The sequence below is a fragment of the Homo sapiens genome, chromosome 3, assembly GCF_000001405.40.
Source record: "Homo sapiens chromosome 3, GRCh38.p14 Primary Assembly".
Classification (NCBI taxonomy): Eukaryota; Metazoa; Chordata; class Mammalia; order Primates; family Hominidae; genus Homo; species Homo sapiens.
The window spans coordinates 107,360,927-107,383,147 of NC_000003.12; the positions used below are offsets into that span (position 1 = coordinate 107,360,927).

The 22,221-nt window shown below is 38.8% G+C and overlaps 1 protein-coding gene and 1 long non-coding RNA gene across 2 annotated transcripts, besides 5 other annotated features; one reads left to right on the forward strand and one right to left on the reverse strand.

Moving 5' to 3' along the window:
* Nucleotides 5,584–6,085: an enhancer, noted in NCBI's record as "H3K27ac hESC enhancer chr3:107085357-107085858 (GRCh37/hg19 assembly coordinates)". NCBI's record gives its function as "activates a minimal SCP1, AML or CMV promoter by ChIP-STARR-seq in primed H9 embryonic stem cells {active_cell/tissue: H9 hESC(primed)}" and the evidence as "EXISTENCE:reporter gene assay evidence [ECO:0000049][PMID:30033119]".
* Nucleotides 5,584–7,048: a biological region, named in NCBI's record as "MED14-independent group 3 enhancer GRCh37_chr3:107085622-107086821".
* Nucleotides 5,849–7,048: an enhancer, noted in NCBI's record as "MED14-independent group 3 enhancer chr3:107085622-107086821 (GRCh37/hg19 assembly coordinates)". NCBI's record gives its function as "activates an origin of replication core promoter dependent on BRD2, BRD4, P300/CBP and CDK7 cofactors, and independent of MED14, by STARR-seq in HCT116 cells {active_cell/tissue: HCT116}" and the evidence as "EXISTENCE:reporter gene assay evidence [ECO:0000049][PMID:35650434]".
* Nucleotides 6,086–6,585: an enhancer, noted in NCBI's record as "H3K27ac hESC enhancer chr3:107085859-107086358 (GRCh37/hg19 assembly coordinates)". NCBI's record gives its function as "activates a minimal SCP1, AML or CMV promoter by ChIP-STARR-seq in primed H9 embryonic stem cells {active_cell/tissue: H9 hESC(primed)}" and the evidence as "EXISTENCE:reporter gene assay evidence [ECO:0000049][PMID:30033119]".
* Nucleotides 6,376–6,670: an enhancer, noted in NCBI's record as "tiled region #4803; HepG2 Activating non-DNase unmatched - State 24:Quies, and K562 Activating DNase matched - State 6:EnhF". NCBI's record gives its function as "activates a minimal TATA promoter and a strong SV40 promoter by Sharpr-MPRA in HepG2 and K562 cells {active_cell/tissue: HepG2 | K562}" and the evidence as "EXISTENCE:reporter gene assay evidence [ECO:0000049][PMID:27701403]".
* CCDC54 (coiled-coil domain containing 54) lies at nucleotides 16,513–17,709 on the forward strand. Its single transcript, NM_032600.3, has one exon. It carries the CDS (start codon nucleotides 16,662–16,664, stop codon nucleotides 17,646–17,648), a length of 987 nt encoding a protein of 328 aa, NP_115989.1. The 5' UTR covers nucleotides 16,513–16,661; the 3' UTR covers nucleotides 17,649–17,709.
* Nucleotides 17,710–19,549: 1,840 nt separating this feature from the next.
* Nucleotides 19,550–21,233, reverse strand: CCDC54-AS1 (CCDC54 antisense RNA 1). Its single transcript, NR_126332.1, has 2 exons — nucleotides 20,997–21,233; nucleotides 19,550–19,782 (listed from the first exon to the last, which is right to left on the reverse strand). It is a non-coding gene; the product is annotated as a CCDC54 antisense RNA 1 (long non-coding RNA).
* Nucleotides 21,234–22,221: the final 988 nt, after the last annotated feature.

Here is a 22,221-nt window from a genome sequence, read left to right on the forward strand (position 1 = left end):
CACAAGATCTGATGGTTTTATAAGTGGAGTTCCCCTCCACATGCACTTTGTCTGCTGCCTTGTAAGATGTGACTTTGCTCCTCTTTCACCTTCTGCCATGATTGAGAGGCCTCCTGAGCCATGTGGAACTGTGAGCCAATTAAACCTCTTTCCTTATATATTACCCAGTCTCATGTATGTCTTTGTTAGCAGCATGAGAACAGACTCATACAGTCCCTCTCTCTACTTTGTGTCAACATGGCTGGACATGGTGGCTCATACCTGTAATCCCAACAATTTAGGAAGCCAAGGCAGGAAGATCGCTTCAGGCCAGAAGTTCATGACTAGCCTGGGCAACACAGGGAGACCTGGTATCTACAAAAATTTAAAAACTAGTTGATCATGGTGGTGCACACCTGTATTCCCAGCTACTCAGGAGGCTGAGACAGGAGGATCGCTTGAGACCAGGAGTTCAAGGCTGTAGTGAACTATGATCATACCACTACACTCCAGCCTGGGCAACAGAATGAGACCCTGTCTCTCTTAAAAAAAAAAAAAAAAGACACGATTGTCTCTCTGCTTTTTGCTCCTCACATTCCAAAGTCACCAATGAAAATATTTCCTTCAGTCTCTGTTTGGAGAACCTTGCTGGAAGTCAATTCCCCAGGGGTCTCTCACATTTCTGCACATCTTGTGAGTAGAGGCACTGGCTAACTTTGTTCCAAATTATTGTTTTAGTGATGTCTGTATGGCCAACAGCCCTGGAAAATAGAGTGTCTTTCTGTGGAACAGAGGGAAGATTTGTGCAGGCTTCACCTAGCCCTTTTGCATCTCCCTCTGGGAACTCGAGCAAGTGGAGTCAATTCAAATATGCTGACTACTATGCCATGAATAATAAAGCCCTTTGTCTCTGATGCAGGAGTCTCATGTCTTCTGCCAGCATCCACAGAACAGTGGCGAGCTAACTTGTTAGGATGTTTCACAGTTATTGACACACCTTTCATTACAGGATTCAGACAGAAGTTCATGACAAGAACCACTGTCTACGACAGACACTGTTGACCTTGGCTCCTCTTCCTGGGTATTCCCCAACTAGTCTGAGAAGAGTGGGGGTACTAGGGCCTGGCCATTTCTGCTTATTAGTGAGCTCAATCTCATGGACAATCTTTGCTCCAAAGCTCCCTGTTGGATTTTCTGAGACTTTGTCTAATCTGTAGGCATTTCCTGCCCAATACAATTTCTCTGCCTTTTGTATTTCATAGGTGTTATCTCTAATAAACTGCTTGTACTCCCAACTCTGTCTCAATGTCTGCTTCCCATAGAACCCAACTGACATGCCTAGTCTCCAGCTATAGACTCCAACTGACATGCCTATCTCCAGCTATAGACTCCAAAACAAAACTTTCTTCCTTCTCTGAAAGCACCCCATTTGAATAAAGTCATATACGTTAACACCTCATATGCATACTCAGTTTCTCCCAACATGACCAGACATGTTATTATAAATCCCAGTTTAGGCCCAAGTTGGAAATTCCATTGAATAAAAAATGCACAATGTAGCTTTGTGTACTAAAAATGATTACGTTAGGATACATTAAGTTCATGAAACCCTTAAGTTAAAGGATTAACATGTATAGCGCCTTTATGTAAGATTAGAAAACTCTTAAATTAGATGTTTATAGTATATTAATATGTGCTATATTTTAAGTCTAAGATGTCATTAACTGCAAGCATGCTATTAAGTATTTATTAAAAAAGAAAAGCATCACCAACTAATATATGACATAATACTAAGATGCCACCTATTGTAAGACAAATTTCAATTTCAGGGATATGAAAATGTGCAAAAACATGCATCTTAGAGTTAATGAAATGCAGTATTAGATGACATGGGAGTTTTCCTGGACTCAGATTATTTGCACATTTCTAAAACCTAAGCACACATTATTAAAGAAAGAATCTCCAACTCCTGAATTATTTTGCTTACCATGTGGCAATTCATAATTAAATAGATAATATTTAATTTAAATTAATAACCGAGTGTTGGACAGCAATCAAGTAAATTTGTTAAAAAGCTTCAAGCTTACTAAGCATATAAAAGTAGGCTTACACTGTGAAAATGGGATGTAATTGAATAATATTAATACAACAGCAGGGTTTTTAAAAAAAAAATTCAATAAAAATTAATCAGGCCAGGAGTGTTGACTTATACTGTAATCCCAGCACTTTGGGAGGCTGAGGCAGGAGGATTGCATTTAGGCCAGGAGGTCGAGACCAGCCAGGACAACATAATGAGACCCTTTCTCTATTAAAAAAAAAAAAAAGCCAGGTGTGGGGGCATGCACCTGTAGTCCTAGCTATTCAGAAGACTGATGTGGGAGGATCACTTGAGCCCAGGAGTTCCAGACGGCAGGCGGCAGTGATCCATGATCTCACACTGCACTCCAGCTTGGGTAACCAAGTGAGATGCTATTTCTAAAATAAATATTTTAAAAATAAATAAAAATTAATTAAATCTACCTTCTGACCCATAGATGTGCTTTTTCTAATATTGGAATTAGAATGGAATTAAGATATCATTAAGCCTCATCTCATCATTTTTCTGAAGATCACCATGAAGCACAGGGGGTGGGGTATATTTCCTTCCATGCAGTTAATGACAGAGCAGAACCAGAGCCTTCTGCTGATGAACCCAGGGCTCTCTCTGCTACCTCACCATGCCAAACTCCAGGCCATCATACTGACACTGAACAAGACTTGAAGGCTGCTCAGAGAGAAAGTATCTCCCTCCCTTAGCACAGAGAAGAATGGTTACTTCATTGCCACAAGTCATGTGGAAGCAAACAAATAGTATAGGCCTAGAACTGAGAGAGAGAGAGAGAGAGAGAGAGAGAGAGAGAAAGAGAGAGAGAATGAGTGAGTGAGAGAGAGAGAGAGAGAGAGAGAGAGAGAGAGAGAGAGAGAAAATACCTTACTTTGATTTATTTCTTTTTCTTCTTCTTAAACCATGACCCTGCGAGGAGATTATTGGTATCTGCCAGTTCTGAGAAAGAGGTGGATGGTTAGAGCTGGGGATTTATAGATTGAGTGTAGGAAGCAGGCTTCCTTCTCCCACAGTACATCTCCAGGAAGAACCAACTGTGATGGAGCTATTGTGAAGTTGGAGAGATGATGAAGAGTAAGAACCAACTTCAATCCACATCTTCCACCCCTGACACCTAGGGTTTGTGAGCACCTGGAAACAGAAAATTTGGCTATTCTGTAAGAATAGCAAACAAACTGGCTGGGCATGGTGGCTCACACCTGTAATCCCAGCACTTTGGGAGGCCAAGGCGGGCAGATCACTTGAGGTCAGAACTTCGAGACCAGCCTGGCCAACATTGTGAAACCCCGTCTTTATCAAAAATAGAAAAATTTGCCAGGTGTGGTGATGCATGCCTGTAATCCCAGCTACTCAGGAGGCTGAGGCAGGAGAATCACTTGAACCCAGGAGATGAAATTTGCAGTAAGCCAAGATCACGCCACTGCACTCCAGCCTGGGTGAGGCAACAAAGTGAGACTCTTGTCTTAAAAAAAAAAAAAAAAAAGAACAGAAAAGAAACTAAAAAAGTTTGGTGAAATCTTGTTTTATGTTCAAGACAAATAAAAAAGAAAATTTCAAAGATGAAGACCTCAAAAACACATGAGACAAAACCAAAAATAGACAAATGGGACTTAATTAAACTAAACCACTTCTGACAGTAAAAGAAATAAGAGTGAAGAGACAACCCACAGAATGGGAGAAAATATTTGCAGACTACACATTTGATAAAGGACTAATATATTCGAAATCTATAAGAAACTCAAATAACTCAACAACAATAACAAAATAACCCCATTAAAAAGTAGGCAAAGCACATGAACAGACATTCCCCAAAAGAGGATATACAAATGGCCAAAAAGCATATGAAAAAGTGCTCAACTACATTAATCAACAGAGAAATGCAAATCAAAACCACACTGAGATACCATCTTACACCAGCACTTGTATCCCCTAAATCTATACAAATTAAAATTAAATTAAAAAGTCAAAAATAACAGATGTTGGTAAGAATGTGGAGAAAAGGGAATGCTTATACACTATTGATGGGAATGTAAATCAGCACAACCTCGATGGAAAACAGCACAGAGATTTCTCAAATAATTAAAAATAGAACTCTCATTCAATCCAGCAATCCCCACTACTGGGTATCTACCCAAAGGAAAAGTTCATTATATAAAAAAATACCTATATCCATATGTTTGTCACAGTATTAGATTGGTGCAAAAGTAATTGCGGTTTTTGCCATTGAAAGTAATGGCAAAAACCGCAATTACTTTTGCACCAACTTAATACTATTCACATTAGCAAAGATATGCAATCAATCAACCTAAGTGTCCATCAATGGATGATTGAATAAAGAAAGCGTGGTTTTTATACACAATGAAATATTACTCAGCCATAAAAGAGAGTAAACTTATGTCTTCTGCAGCAACATGGATGGAACTGAAGGCCATCATCTTAAGTGAAGTAACTCAGAAAGTCAAATACTGCATGTTCTCACTTTTAAGTGGGAGCTAAATAATGTGTACACATGGGCATAGAGAGTGGAATAATAGACATTGGGGACAAGGAAGGGTGGGAGGGTGGGAGGGGGATAAGGGACGAGAAATCACTTAATGGGTACAATGTACACTCTTTGGGCAATGGCTACACAATATACTCAGGTAACACAATTGCACTTGTACCCCCTAAATCTAAAAAAAAAATTTTTAAAGAAAAGTTCAAGGTTGTATTTAAACATTTCTTCTTTTCTCTTTCTGTACTCAGTTTTAGACTAGTCTGGCAGCATGAGCCACCTACTGGCCTCTCACTCTCTCCTCTGAACTGGGGTCAGTTGATTCCACAGGACAGTGGGGATGTCACCAAGAGACCCAGCTGGCAGCTGGCTTCTGGCTTTCCCTCCTTCTTCGAGCAATATTAACAATTTTAAAAGGAAATTCCCTCACATAGAAACTATACCTAGATTTTACAGGATCAAAATGACAATGGTTGAATTAAAAATAAAAAGAGATATTTAGAGAATAAACAGAAGCGGAAAAGATGAGGTCACCAATAACACTTGTTTCTTCTTCCCATCTTTTTAATTCCTCTATCTTGGACAGCAAAATGCTTGGTTGCTAAGTTCACTAATTCATAAAGAATGCTCTTGTTCTGACACAGCGCCAAGTACACCATAGACATTGATTAAACATTTATTGAATGATTATTATGGGCCAGTACTGAACTATTTCTCAAATACATTTTCTCATTTAGTTTAATCCCCTCAAAAACTTTATGAAATACTATGATTCCCATATCACAGATAAGAGCATACAAAATTTTAGAAACTGATCGAAATGCCTCTATCTGGTAATTCTCGTAACACCATTTTAAAAAAGCGGCTCAGTATGGTTTTCCCATGTTTGCAGTGAAAAGAAAAAAGAAAAGATGTACAGTCACATCAAAATTATAAACTCTGTACCTAAAATCAAAATTTCAAATTCATAGGCTTCTCACCAAATGTAGTTCACTCTAAATAGAATTTACTCGGGGCTACTCCAAAACCGCAGGCTGAGTAATACCATCCAAATTTGCAATGATTACAAATTAGTCTATTTTGTTGAGTGTATGAAAAGGTGAGTAAATTATGCTATTATTCTGCTCCCAATTTCTACAATAATTGGAATAGTCAGAAGAGTACAGTAGATCAGAGATCAAAATATCACCCTTATGATGGATGTAGCATAGAAGTGTGACAACGATAATCTTCCTAATACCCAATCTCAGAATTGGATTGAATCTCCAGGCTTCTCTCTGTGCCTCCCTAAACCCCACTCCTGATCTTTAGGGGCAGAGTCTGCCCTTATCCAGCTGATGGCATGGAGGACAGAATGAAGAATAAAGAGTGTCCTTGGCAGGCAGGCAAATCCCAAAGACAAAGGAAAGGAGGAAGAAGCTGAGCTATGCACGCCCAGTTCCTCAGTCCAACCTCACAACCAGCAAAGGCATTCCCTTCCTCTGAGGGGGTGGAGACAGGGCAGAAGTGATATGCTAATTCTTATCCCTCCTTGTGGAAACTCCAAGTCCCAAAAAGGAGGTATCACCATCCTACCCATCCACCCGCCGACATATATCCTGTGTGACCAGACTGTGATCTATTCCATCCTTTTCATTTGGGGCATGTTGGGCCTCAAGCACTTCACAACATGATTATTTTATTCCTAACGGTCAGTAGCGAATAAGACGTAAAATGACATAGTTCTGCTGTGGGTAAACTCAAGGTTTTAAAAAGGAAAAACTTCATTGTCACTTGCATTATATATGTAAAGTACACAAATACATGTATAGATATGTAAATTCTATATCTAAAAAGGAAAAAAATGCCCAATGGTGACACAGCATTAAATGATTTAATAGCTAAGGATTTTATTTACATCTCAGAATAAAGAAATGCCAAAAGCTGATTCACTGCACCACAGTGATGACTCAGCAGGTAGGCAGGAAGAGGAAGGAGCAAGCCAAAAAAGGGGTGGGGGAGGTGAAGCAGGTTCTGCGTTTGATAACAACAGCCCCCGTTTTTAAATATTTCTGAAAGAGGAGAGGGAAAAAGTCAAAATTAACAATAACTTTGTTGCCCCACAAAGCCTCTCCTTCTTTCCTACCCACTCTAGGAAATTAGGAAAGTGCACGCTGGAGGAGTCCCATTGAAAATGTCGGCTCTTCCACTGCTGTAGGCAGTTTAGGTCTAGCGGTTAACTTCTGAGATTTGGAACCCTCACTACCAAGTTCCATTTCTAAAGGCCATTAGAATTTCATAATAAAACACTGGATATAACATTTCTGTTATTCCTTAGTTCCTTAGCAATAAAATCAAGACATTTAATTTTGCAAATCTGACCCTTAAACAACTCTTATGAAAACATTTACTCCCAACTGACCGCAAAAGATACCAGCCCAGCCTCCGACATTCATCTCAGTCACTTTGTATCAGGGGCGCACACAGAATTCCCTCCCTGAGTTTATGTCATTTCTCTTGGTTCAAACTCCTCACTAGAAATGAAGCACAAAACACTATATATTTATTGACAGCCTGGTGGCTCATAGCTTGCACCAAGCTGGTTTGTTTAGAAGAACAAACTAAATAGGGTCCTTGACTTCATGGTGTGTACAGCACAGAAGACCTTTTTGACTTTCACCTGTCCAGACCTCAGTTGTTTTCAAGGATTTCATTCCCAAGCCAATACATTCCATGGGGATCTCCCTCCTTTGTTCCTCAGATAATCAACTGCCTGCATTCTCAGCACTTCACGTATTCTAAGTTCTTGAATTAAACCACCTAAAGGCTCTAGCTCCTTCAAATCAAAAACACTCATAAAGGGGGCCTGAATAATGTTTGGTCCTCCTTCTCTTATTGTGAGGATTTTAACCTGGTTTATATCTTACGGTGTCCATAAAGGGCTTTGAGGATTGGGGTGGGAGAGGTCTGTGTGTCTATCCCCTGATGTACTTATGTGCAAATTTGTGTGTGTATGCTAATATTCTGTATTAGTCCATTCTTGCACTGCTATAAAGAAATACCTGAGACTGTGTAATTTAAAAAGAAAAGAGGTTTAGTTGACTCACTGTGCCACAGGCTGTACAGGTAGCATGGCTGGGGAGGCCTCAGGAAACTTTCAATCATGGCTGAGGGCAAAGGGGAAGCGGGCACGTCTTACATAGTGGGAGCAAAGAAAGAAGGAGAGGGGAGAGGAGAGGTGCTACACACCTTTAAACAACCAGATCTTGTGAGAAATCATTATCTCAGGAACAAGGGGTAAATCCAGCTCCATGATCCAATCAGCTCCCAGTTCACACCATGCCCCACCTCCAACATTGAGGATTACAACGCGACATGAGATTTGGGTGGGGACACAAATTCAAACCATATCAGTGCTGTTTTCTGAAAAAGCACGCAAAACTTTCATCGGATTCTCAAAGGAATGTTGGAACCCAGATCTTCTGCTTTACTAAGGTTTAAGCAATTATATCACTTTCTCAATCATTTCAATGAGCCTGGACATTCATTTGACTTCAGCTCTACTTTCTAACAACAAAGAATGTGATTTCCAGCAACATGTTCTTATTTTTAAATGTCATTTAAAAATGTAAATGTAAAGTTCAATGGAAGTTACAACAGAAATTTTTGCCTATCTTAATATGTAAATTGCCCAAGGGCTCAGACCAGTTTCGTTTCATTTTACACTGCATGGTGGAGGAGAAACTTCAGCACTTAAATAGAATGAGCAGTAATTAAGTCTCACAAGTTACAGTGAGAATTGTAGCCATTAGTGCCAAACACTGAAGCTGAAAATTATTGAAATATGTATTTAATAGAACTGTCTTGTCGCTGTACTTTTTTTTTGAGACAAAGTTTTGTTTTGTTGCCCAGGATGGAGTGCAGTGGTACAACTTTGGCTCACTGCACCCTCTGCCTCTCCTGAGTAGCTGGTATTACAGGCACGTGCCACCATGGCCGGCTAATTTTTGGATTTTTAGTAGAGACAGGGTCTCACCATATTGGCTAGGCTGATCATGAACTCCTGACCTTAAGGGATCCACCTGTCTTGGCCTCCCAATCATTCTACTTTTTTGTTATTCAATACTTACATTACTTTTAGACTACAAGAAAGAGACTCAAATTTCCAGAAAGAGAAGTACCCATCTCCCCCAAAAAAATAAAATTCTCAATCTTACAGTTAAACATTCCTAAACACCTTTTGTATTCTAGCTGGCTTTTGGCATAATAGAAACAGCTGCAGCAACAGTACACATTTCTACTGGGGGAGCCTTCAATAAATATTTAAAAAAATGAATAAATATTTTCTCCTCAGATTATCATAGTTATAGTTATAAAAACCTAGGTAGAGAAGGAAGAAAAAAAAATCCACTTCATTTTATGATTGCCTTTTGGACATTTTCCATTTTGTGTGTAATCATAGCGCACAAGCAGAAGGAATACATTTGGGAAGTTAAATAAGATCTTTGTAATCCAAACCCATGCAGGAAAAAGGATGCCTGTAGCTTTAAACAGAGAAAGGAAATGATTCCAAAATCAAACTGCTGAAGAAAAAACACTGCCAAAACCATGCATAATAAGACGTTTACAGTTCTTAAATAAGAGATATAATATAAAATTTAAAATTAGATATAATAAACATTTTCATGTTAATTCTGTGACCCCCTTCAATGTCAACATATGGCTTTACTGCTGTTCTCATTGTATAGATGGAATGAAACGGAAAAATAATACACCCAAGATAGAGAGGACACTAATAACAGAAAGCAAAATACAGTCAAGGGATAAATACACATTCACTTCACAGAGATATGGGTGCAAATTCCATTAGAAACATAAAATGCCATCATAATACATGTCTCTCAAGGTGAGCACTATTAGGAAAAGCCAGTGCAATATTTCACTTTATCACCTTTAAAATGTTGGAATAAGAAAGAAGATAGCTCCTTGGATTTTGTACTCCAAAGTACTACAAAGCATTAGGACAACTAAAAAGCCAAACAGAAAAACAGAGTTTTTCTTAAAATTAAGGCTATACTAACATAGTAACATACCCAGAGACGACACCACTGCAAACTACACAGTATAATAATTAGAAATGGGAATACTAGCATTCTCCAATTTTTTACACTTTATGATTTCTGGATTTGTACACACTTAAATCCCCATTTCCAATGTGATCACTATTTATTCTCTAGCTTTTAATTTTTGGTTTCCTAAATGAAGAACAATACAATTCAGGAACAAGATAGCAAGTTGACACTGTGCTGCACCCGTCACATAATGGTTTCCAAAAAAGATCTGCTAAATGATATAAATTCAGTGAAACAAAGGTGTTTAAATAGACTAACTCACTGAATTTATTCACCAGTTCCATTAAAGGAAAGAGGTGAATGGTTAAGTGAAAACAAATCTCTTTCAGTTTCCCTTCATTTTTCCAGACATTTATTTTTATGGCTGCATCAATTGTGCACATCGAGACTTATAAAGCACTATAAGAAGAGTGTCAATCATAAGCTAAAGGGAGCAGAGGTTTCAAGGTGGTATTTGAGAAGGGAAACCAAGAGGTGAAGTTGAGAATTACAGAAACTAGGCAACCTCATATAATAAATTACCAGGGAGAGCCAAGCGTAACAGAAAGAACTGGAGGAAGATGACAGGGAAGAGAGATCAAATAAAATGCTAATGTGCCCCAAGGGTTATGGAACTACATGGTGAAGGGTATGTTTAGATAAGCTAGAGAGAGTTCATTGTAAATTTGGAGTTCACAGTATAAGATGACAGAAATAAAGAGATAAGTGCCTGAGTATCTAAATTGATGACGAATGCATTCTCGGGCAATCCCACAGAGGTATGGAGAATACACTGATACCCTGTGGTTCTCTAGAGGCCTGAAAGACTTAATATGTTGCACAGGGGGTACATATGCTATGTACTTTGGTCACCTCTAGGACCAGAGCCATCAACACCACCCCTGTCACCATCATTACTGGGCTCTCTCTCTCCATTCCATAGCTGTTTCCAGGTATGTAATTACCTCCATCTCTCTCAAATTACTGCCACTTAACTGCTTCAAGTCTGTGGGGAGCAATTATTAAATCCTATCCCAAAATTGCTAAATGATCCCCCAGGAATTGAGAAAAGTTATTCCCATTCTGAGTAAAACAGTGTATCTCCTTGCTGTCCATAGAAATAGGCTCAGGAGAGACCCAATCAACATCTTGACAATCATCCACAGGTGCATTCATTCATCCTTTCATTCAATGAATAAAGATTTTTTGAGCACTAACTATATGTTAGGCTTTGGGACATTGAGGATATAGAGTTAAAAAGCAAGTCTCTGGTGGTGCACACCTGCAGTCCCAGCTACTGGGGAGGCTGAGGCAGAAGGATGGCTTGAGCCCAGGAATTTGAGTCCAGGCAGGGCAACATGCCGAGACTCGTCTCTAAAAAAAAAAAAAAACAAACCCAAGTCTCTCCTCTCAAGGAACTCGGAATCTAGAGGGGAGATAGGCTCACCAACAATAACAATACAATATGGGAATCATTGCTAGATGGAGACCCAGATCTGTTGGAAGCATTGGGAAGACTATAAGGAGAATCAGAAAAGGCAAGACAAGTGTAGTAGATGAATGAATGACTCCAAAGGATGGGTAGAAATTTGCCCTGGCGATAAACAGATGAAAGATTTTCCAGAAAGACCATACAATTTTAGTTATAGTGAAAAAGTAAAATATCATTGCCAAATATTATTTAAAAGTTATCGTTCCATCATTTCCTCAAAGGTGTTCACCTCATTTTTTGGCTTGTGGTCTCACAGGATTTTAAACTATCATTATGAATATTTATTAGAACCACGTAGTGGATGCGGCCCTTTCCCTTACCCCACGTGTCACTCTCACCAGATGGCCTTATCAATGTCCCTGGGCTCCATCGCTTCCTTCAGCCTGAAACCTTGCCTACATTATAAACACTGTGACTTTCCCCTGTTTCTCTGTCCTGGTCCAGTGCAACAGCTCTGATTTCAAGCCCACTCTCTTCTATTTCTCATGGCTAAAAAGAAAGAAAAGTAGAAGACAGCTTTCCCTTTGGGCCCTTCATAACTACTTAGCATGTGTAACAGGAGATTGAATTCGCACATTCTTATCCCCTTGAGTCAGCCCACCCTGATCAAATTCGAAAGACTTTCCTGGTTCCTGTTTCCTCAATCTTTTATCCCACCGTGCACATGACAGGTGATAGTCACGTGGGAGGGTCCAGATTCTTGTGAACCTGGCCCCTAAATTTTGTGGGGGAAGTTAAAGACTCTTAATAAGTTTTTGTGGTCACGACCCCTAAGGTAACATGAGTAATAGTAGATCACTACAGGTGTAACACAAACGTTATACATAATGCTCAATTGCTAGCAGGATAGCTGTAACTATCCCACTCTCTCCTACACACACAAAAAAACATGTTTAAAAAAAACAGAGTGACTTTTTTGTTGTTGTTGTTTTTGTTTGTTTGTTTGTTTTGAGACGGAGTCTCGCTCTGTCGCCCAGGCTGGAGTGCAGTGGCGCGATCTCGGCTCACCGCAACCTCCGACCCCCGGGTTCTCGCCATTCTCCTGCCTCAGCCTCCCAAGTAGCTGGGACTACAGGCGCCCGTCTCCATGCCCAGCTAATTTTTTGTATTTTTAGTAGAGACGGGGTTTCACCGTGTTAGCCAGGATGGTCTCGATCTCCTAACGTTGTGATCCGCCCGCCTCAGCTTCCCAAAGTGCTGGGATTACAGGCGTAAGCCACCGTGCCCGGCCCAGAGTGACTTTTATATATGTAATTTATATAGATAATCTAAACTCTGCCATAATTAATATATAGTTAGTGTACTCAAAAACACAGCATTTAAAATATTGAATAATATTATGTATTATTAGACCCATCTAACCAGTGGTTATTCTACTCCAGTCTGCCTGAAACCAAAGCTGGTTGGGAAACCCTGTGCTAAGAGATAAAGGGCTGATGTGTCAGCCTTGTTTGCTGCATTTCAGTTGCCTCTAATCGAAATGCTTTCCCTGCATGGTATATTGGGCAGCAAGGACCACACACTTTATGTCTTGGTCATATTGAAAGAGGGAGAAAGGCAGAGTGAGAGATTGAGAGAGCAGGCAGCGCTAAAGCTGAAAACGGTTAACCATCTCCTTTCATCTGGAAGAAGAGAAGTGAGAGACAGGTGGTGGGAAATGAGGAGGAAAGGACTTGTAACTATTCAGCATCTTAATTCTCAAAACCAGTCACTGAACTAGGTGCTGTTATTATCCCATTTTACAGGCTTGTGGGAGGCTAGAAACTTGTGTAAGAGCACTGAGTTAGTCATGGGACAGCCTTGAACCTTTCTGGCTCCAAATACCATTCCTGTGAAAGCCAACCTCCTGGAGAACAGGTAGACTCAGGAAGTCTCCCACTAGGCTTCAGACCACTGTGCTATTTTATTTCTAAATGCCACCATACCCTTGGCAGGAACCCGAAGAGCGGAAGTCAGCTTATTTCCCGTTATTCATTCACTTTCTGACTGCTCTCATAACTTCGCCCAAATCAATAGGCTTACCTCCTCCCGGTGCAACTTTTCACCACCTGGCAAACTCCAGATAAGCCAAGGCTCCCTTTATTGACATTACGAAGGAAGTAGTTAGAAACCCAGACAGGTTTATGTTTGTATCAGCCTATTAGATTTATTTGTTTTATAAAAATAGTAAGCATACACTCATATTTTAAGTTGAAAACTTTAATTTTTTTAATTCCAATTATTGTATTACTATGTCTACCACAGTAAGGAAAGTAAGCCTCCAAATATTCACTTTTACCTACAAATTAGAGCTTGTTCAACTTCTAAAGTCTTCACAAATTTCTGTATCAAATGCTTTTGGTAAATAAAATAACCGATGAAAGCTTAAATTTTCTCATAATGCTAAACAGACAAAATTTTAATAAAATAAGTCTTCTATAAATATACAGTAGGATTTTAAAAAGAAAATGTCCATCTTTTTCTGAGTTGTACTAAATATATATTTTAATCATGATTGTGAGGCAGTAGAGGTAAAACACATGGACTCTGGAGCCAGAATGTAAGCATTTGAAATCTGACTCTGCCCATTTTTAAGCTCTATTACCTTAGGAAAGTTACTTGACTTCTCTGAACATAGTTAAGTAAGCTAATACTTAGAGCAGTGTCTGGTATGCACCCAACAAGTCTTAGCTGTTATTAACCTGGAGGGAGTAATTATGACAAGCAGTCCCTCTCATTTAACTGGGAATTCTTGGAAAGTGAGAATACGTAATACACAAATTGCCTCCAAATGTAATGAAATTTTAATAATACTAAATCTAACAATTAATGAATATGACATAGTACATTTCAGAGACGTTTCATTAAACATTTATTGCTTCAATCTTGCAGCTTTCTTTCAGTATTCTGAGCCACTGTTTTTTTTTTCTTCTGTTCTTAAGTATTTTCATTGGCCCTTAAAAACTGTATGGGCCCTAAGTACTGTGTCTGCAGAACTCGACGGATAAAATGGCCTTAGCCAGAGTAAACGGGACGGCTGTGAACTCTAACCTTTCCAAGCCCCAAATGCCATTCCTGTGATAGTCTGCCTCTTGGAGAATATTTTCCTCAGCAAGTGTTTGGAAAGGTTTCTAGACATTTTCGAAAGGTTACTAAACAGCATTTGAAAGATAGGAGAGTAAGGCAAAATCCCAGATATTATTGATGAGCCAAAATTTTAAAATTACTGCTGGAAAAGCTCACTGTTTGTACCAAATCCTGGGCCAACACTGACCCTCCAATTGGGCACAGATAGAAGAAACAGTGATTTGGTAGAAGGTTGGAATTGGCATGGATCCAAGAGGGAATGTCCTTTTGAGTAGAATGGGACTGCTCCTTGAGAGACATGTGAGTAACACGTCATTTTGATTCCAGAGTGTTCAGTCTAATGTGTTTAGAGAATAAAATTAAGTTTTTACCTCAATATATAAAATGGGCCAAATATTATTTAATATTTCAAAGGGTTTGAATTTCAAATACTGTTATGTAGAAAAACCTATAAGAAGGAACATGAGAAATGGCTGCTGTTATTTTTAAATTCTAAGGCAGTGGCTCTCAAAGTGTGGAATGCTTTGTGTCATGAGACCACTCTGTAAGTGTGACAATGAGGGCAACAATATTTCAAAATAATCCCAGGACACCGTTTGTCTCTTCCACTGTGCTTACATTTGCCTGTTGAAAATTACATTGCAAAAGCAATGGTGGGTAAAACTGTTGATACCTTAGCATGAACTACAGCAGGGGTACCACACTGACTAACAGTGACTCAATCAGAAAAGGAAAAAAATACAAGAAAAACCAGTTTCACTCAAGAATGTCCTCAATGAAGCAGTAAGAATTTTTAATCTTATTAGATCTCAACCCTTCAGTACATCTTTTTTATATTATGTATGATATAATGGGAAGTAAACATAAGTGCTTCTGCAGCTTAACAAAGTATACTGGTTTTCATGAGGAAACGTACATAAGTATTTGAATTACAAATGTGTGCTTTTTTCATGGAACACTATTTTTTCTTGAAAAAAACTGACAACAAACTACAGTGTTCATAGTTGGGCATTTGGCAAGCATTTTTGCAAAAAATGGATGGAGGGAATCTGTCACTTCAAGGAAAACAATAAACCAGCTTGATAAATTTCAAGATTTTCAAGCTAAAATTAGAATTTTGAAAAATCTGCATTTGCTACCATGAGCTTGGCCTCTTCTCAGTACTCAAAGACTTTTCTGGTGAGATTGGTGGAGATATTAATGAAAATGATATTTTGATATTATATAATACAATGAGTTGACATTTGGAAGACCTACATAATTCAGTGAACCATTGTTTGCCAAATGACCAATACATGATATTATGCATCTATTCAAAATAAAAAATAGACCAGCGGCTATTAATATAACAGAGTATGAAACTTCTTTGATTTGGCCTAAAATGACACATTGCAGCTAACTTCTTAAAAAAAATCATTTGTCAAATTTTCATAAAGTAGCAAAGAATGATATCCTCAATTATCTGAAAAAGCTATGAAAATACTCTCCCCTTTCCATTTACGTAACTCCATGAGGCTATTTTTTCTTCATATACTTCAAAATAATATATCACAACAGATATAATGCAGAAGCAGATATGAGAATCTAGTTATCTTCTATTAATTCAGGTATTTAAAACACTTGCAGATATGTAAAACAATGCCACTCTTCTCACTTTTTTTTTAGAAAACCAAATTATTTTTTATGAAAATATATCACTTATGTTAACATGTAATGGGTTTTTAAATTTAAATTAATAACTAATTATCTAAGACTTTCTTAGTTTTAATGTCTACTATAAAATGTAGGTAGATATAACCCAAATAAACAAAATCTGTGTGATCCTCAATAATTTTTCATTTTTATTTTTATTTATTTATTTATTTATTTATTCATTTTGAGACAGAGTCTTGTACTGTCGCCCAGGCTGGAGTGCAGTGGTACCATCATGGCATACTACAGTCTCCACCCCCTGTGCTCAAGTGATCCTCCCACCTCAGCCTCCCAAGTAGCTGAGGCTACAGGCATGCACCACCATGGCTGGCTAATTTTTTTATTTTTTTGTAGCAACAGGTGTTTTTCTGTGTTCCTCAGGCTGCTCAACAATTTCTATGATTCAAAAAGAGCCCTATGACCAAAACTTTTGAGAACTGCTGTAGTTAAATATGTTTGTTCTAAGCCAGCAGTCATTGTGACATCAGCAGCAGGTCAATGATTACCATATGAAAGATTCCATGCAGTTGACTATTATTTCACAGAGCTCTCTGGTTGGGCTGCTCTATAAGAAGCTAATCACCTAACAGTGTCTATTGCTGTGGCTGATGATTTCCAGAGTGTTCTAAGATGTTATCAGGAAAGGCATCCAACAAATAGTAAGAGAAGGACCATTTCATTTGTACATTATTTCTTCCTGTGATTCTGTTTTCCAACACCTTGCCTCTTGTTTCACCATGAAAGATGTACACACTTCACACCAAAAGGGTAAAAGCTGCTGCTAGGCAGATGTGGACTTCAAATCTCTCCAAGGTCAGACAGTCTCTTAAAAATGTTTACCACAAATGTAAGATTCGGCACCAAGATTCAACTGGATATCCCACTGTGACATCTGATGATTGTAATCAAGATGATGATAGTTATGACGGAAAAATGAATCTTCCAGTAGTGCTCCAAGATGTTAAAACTGCTCAAGTTGAACTTTTCAGCCAAATGACTGACATTGTCCATATGATACCAAAAGTCCAGGAAAAGACTGACTTGTATCAAAAACAGATGGAGGTCCTGGAAACCAGAATGAATGTTAATGAAGACAAACAATGCACAACGACTAAAGATATCCTCTCTATGAAAGAAGACATCAAGGCATTAAAGAAGAAGGTGACAGAACTGGAAATTCAGAATTCCTGCTCCACGATACATTGTCTAGAGATTCTGGAGGGAGAAAGGGGTAAAGAAATCACAGAACTGCTTTACAAACTCATACAACCAGCAACTCTGAAGAACACTTTGGCCTCTACAGACATGGAAATCTCTTCAGCAGAACCAGAGAAAGTGCCCAGTTATCCAAAGTCCACTGACCATCTTGAGAAAAAAACAATTTCTCCCCAAATGAAAACTCTGAAGAAACGTAACCATCAAAATGCATCAAGGAGCTTTGAAAAAGCAAAGCCAAATATTTACATTTACCCAGACTTCAGTACATGGATCAAGCTAACTTTTGTTCATGGAGGAAAATGGACATTTTTCCTCAGTGCTACCAAGTTAGAAGAATTCATCCAGTGGCTTCTTTCTAGGCCAACCATTCTTCCTGAGGAACCCCAGGTCATAACCCAGAGATACTGTCCATTCACTGGGCCCATTTTGAGCTTGACCACAATCTGTCTCTCCATCTTCAACAATATTTACGGCTTTATTTGTTCCTTAAAAGAAGAAGTAACTCGACTATAGAGTTATGTTCTGCTTTGCTTGGCACAAAATAAATGTAACCTGGAGGCTCCAAGTATTCACACATTGGTGTGGTGGCTGTGAATTCTTCGGTAGTTTGCTCACTCTGGGCCCACTATCTGCAGAGTTTCTCTATGTCTACAGTAAGTTAAGGCACATGATCTAATTGAACTGTTGTAATTCGTTTTCTCTCAATGTTCTTGTTTTCTCAAAGGCAATTCATGAGGACTCATCCTGGGTCCATTTTCATAGATAATTGGAAACAAAGAATGAAGGAGTCCAGGGCAATGTGTAGTATGTTTGGTGGCCTCCATGTCAGTTTTCTATACACTTTGTCCTCGTGGCCTTTGTGGATACGGTTTGTGATACCAGAAACATACACTACTGACAAGACTTCATTTTATTTGTTATTTATTTTTGAAATGGAGTCTCACTCTGTCACCCAGCTGGAGTGTAGTGGTGCAATCTCGGGTCACTGCAACCTCCACCTCCCGGGTTCAAGTGATTCTCCTACCTCGGCCTCCTGAGTAGCTGGAATTACAGGCGCACGCTACCACACCCAGCTAATTTTTGTATTTTTAGTAGAGACAGAGTTTCACCATGTTGACCAGGCTGGTCTCAAACACCTGGCCTCAAGCGAGCCACCCACCTCGACCTGCCAAAGAGCTGGGATTACAGGCATGAACCACCACGCCCGGTCAGACTTTAGGTAGTATAGAGTGAAAAGGATACCCATTGTCAAGGCTACTAAAGTTAGCAGTATAAAAATGAAAGGGATTGAAAGGCTAAGTTATTGCAAGGAACATATTCAAAATATTGGCTTTTTCTTTCAACTTCAGCTTCTTTTCTATGAAACAATTAGATAAGAGGAGAAAGACAATATGATACTGGGTAATTTTTACATTTTCATGAAAGGAGAAAAATACCATGTCCTATAGGTTTGATGCAGGGGAAAAGGGAAGATCTAAGAAGGGGTTTGTGAACTAAGTTAAATCTTACCACTATAATACCATAAACTCTTATATGATAGGTTTTTCTTTGTTTGTTTGTTTAAAGCATATAGCCAAGAAGAGCTTCATTTTTAGATATAACAGGTGGTTGTCATTGTAATTTCTGAATATCATGCAGAATAACTGAAAAACAATGTTTCCTTCACCACTTAACTCAGTGAATGAACGCTACCTTCCTTTGTGGTCATATATTAAACCACAAATATTCCTGGCAAATGTACTACACTTAATTATTTGCAGTCAATACTTTGAAAGGGGGGTTTTGGTAGCTAGCTGAGAACAAATGAAAGAGGACAAAGGACCTAAAGGTGGGCACAGCAAAAATTAAGACACAGCTTCGTCTGACGCCAATCTGGGAGTAATTATATAACACATTATTTTTTCATTGACAAATATATTCTATTTGATCCTTCTTTACAAATTTATAGATATGTACATAATAACTTTTAGAATATGTCAAAATGCAGGGAATCAACCTAAATGCCCATCAATTACAGATTAGATAAAGAAAATATGGTACATATACACCATGGAATACTATAGACAGCCACAAAAATAGATGAGATCATGTCTTTTCCAGGAATGTGGCTGGAGCTGAAGGCCATTATCCTTAGCAAACTAATGCAGGAACAGAAAACCAACTACCACATGTTCTCACAAGTGGAAGCTAAAAGATGGGAGCTCATGGACACAAAGAAGGGAACAACTGATACTGGTGCCTACTTGAAAGTGAAGGTTGGGAGGAGGGAGAGAAGCAGAAAAAAATAACTATTGAGTATTAGGCTTAGTACCTGGGTACTAACGACTTGAGTTTACCTATAAAACAAACCTGCGCATGTACCCCAAAACTAAAATAAAAGTTAAAAAATAAAATATGTCAATATGCAACATACCTAATAAAAGCAAAGGTATTTATTAAATGAGTTTGTTTAAAAATGAGATAACTGTGCTTACAATGTATTGTTCTGTTAAAGGCACTAGCAATCTCTATGTATTTACTTACCACCAGAGATGTCCGTAAGGAACAGCCAGAACTCTACTTCAGTACCTTAGGTGTGATGCTCACATTAGGACAATATCTAGGGAAGGCAGGCCATGACACAGGCAAATGACATCACAAATAACTTCTGGAAGAGAAAAAAGTGACCCAGCTGGTATAAGCCTGGGTCGTCTGAGCCTCTGTATATCAGCACTGACTTTCATTTTTCCCCCTCACATGTCCCTTACACAGCCCTTAATGTTTCTAGAGAGGCACGCAGTTTACAGGCACACGCTTGAGGATCAAAAGACCAAGGTTCTCAACCTAAGTCCTAAATTTTACTCTTACAAATTATATTATTTAATTTCAATGAGGTTTTTCTGTCAGCTGTAAAAATATAATCATTATATGAACTTAGTAAATATTTTTTCAGTGTTCACTAATAATAAGGGATCATGGAGGATACAAGAAAAGGTAGACATTCCATGTCCTGTAAATATAGAACATTAAATGGCATAAATAAAAAATGTACACAAAGAACTCTGAGACATGATAAATGGGGATGGGCAGCAAATAGCAATACTGCAAGTATTGCTGGTGTCAGAGAAGAAACAAGCTTGATGAGCCTTGTGCTAAGGAAGTAAAGTGAGGAGGAGGTGGAGAGGACAATGCAGCTGACAGAGGGAAAAACAGGAGCAGAGGGCGGGGGGATAGTAAGGAACGTGGGATGTGAAAGCCACCGGGCATTATACAACATAAAGTACAGACAGGCTATTATTTCAACCCTTTTATGGATCTAATTTTTCTCTTCAGAGATTCCCACCATGCTCATTTCAACCTGTTTTCTTTACCTACATAAGAATGTTAGAGGGGGAGAAAGTGACTCTACGTGATTTTCGCAAGGTCTCGCACTTTCCCTAGAGAGGATTCTGTTTGTCCTGTTAATGAATTGAGTTCCCTGTGAGCAAAGGGAGGATTTTACTTCTGAGTCAATTATTTATTGTCACCTAGACAAGATCTCACATGACTTGTTAAAATTATAAATCATCTTATAACTCAGCATGTGAGCAAATAACTTTTCCCCAGTCCTGGTTTGCAAGTTCACCTGCCTCTCACCAGCCCACCTCCATCCCTCCTGGCTTGGAGAAGTGGCGTTTCTCTAACCCACATTCCTCCACCAGTGCCTTGCAGAGTCTTCATCAATTACTCCCCCTTTCCCCTCCATCTTAATCACCACCTCTCAGTTCTTTGTACTCCGCTTACAAAAATACTCACCTGGTTCCCTTGTCCTTGTGTTCCCCTCGTCTCCTGCCAATTTCCCATCATCTTTTTTAATGAGAGGCCCACCCTCCCTGTCCTCACCTTCCCTCTCCTCTTCTCTCCATGGTTCATGGGAGCATGTCTTCCAGAATGGTGCTTTCTCATCTAGTTTTCTTCCCATCACTCTGGCAGAGTCTTCTCAGTTTTCTTAGATGATTCCTCTGCCACTAATCATTCTGTTAAAATATGGATACTTCATTTTCGTGATCCCAAATCAAAGAATTCCTAATCTAGCCTCTCCTGGGACGTCCTGAGTTTTGGTTCCAAATTACTATTTATCTTCTCCACTTGTGTGTCTACAAAAAAATGTATATAAATATAATTAGACGAATGTCTATAATGTATATCAGTCAAACATGAAAGTCATTGTGCATTCACCAAAACATCTCAAATCATTGTTTTTGCTATTAAACACATCTATTGGGGAGGAAACACTCGGTGGTAAAAAGAGCAAAGACATTCAAAGAAGAACAGATTTTAGAATGACTATTTACTAAACATTTATATTATGTATCAGGCACTATGCTAGTTGGGTGTACAATCATGACCCTCATAACTATGTGATTTTGGCAGTCCTTAAAACTTGAATTCAGTTTTCTCAACTCCGAACTGAGAACAATTTATGTCATGAGACTCTTGTGTTAATTAAATGAAATCATGTGTATAATCTGCCAAGAATAATGCCTGATTTCGTAGGTGCTTAGCATATGGTGGTCATTTCCTTCCCTCCATAGGCTAAATGTCAATGGAAGGCATGAAGATGAACAGGACATGGGCCCTGCCTCAAGCAGCTCACATTCAGGATTCTGCCTCCTTTCATCAGCCATAAAGGACTCCAGACAAATAGGGAACAAAGTGACAGGCTAAATACAAATGCTTCAAACAAAATCTTGACTCCCTCATCCAAAGACAGTGTGATAAGAATAAGACGGGGTGTGAAGCTCTCCTCCTGGTCTGGGCACTCAACCAATATTCCATCATCTACAACAGTCGTTTGCCAACCTTTAATTGCACGCTGTATAAATAAGCAACAAAGAAAAGGATCTGGAGGGAAGGGAGGCTGAGTTAGGATAAATAATTTAGTTCAGTGTGTAATACTTGCTTGCGTAGACACAGACACTAACAGCATTCTGTTCATTCAAAAACAATATTCACCAACATTTATTGAAATTTGACTCTATACCAGGAAATAGCTGAGCTAGGTGTGAACAAACAGAGATGCAAAGACATCAGTCCTGTCCTGAAAGAACATACTTTCAAATGGTGT

Bases quoted from the DNA above. Each gene is read 5' to 3' on its own strand.
- CCDC54 (NM_032600.3), top strand. From the start codon at position 16,662: ATGTACACACTTCACACCAAAAGGGTAAAAGCTGCTGCTAGGCAGATG.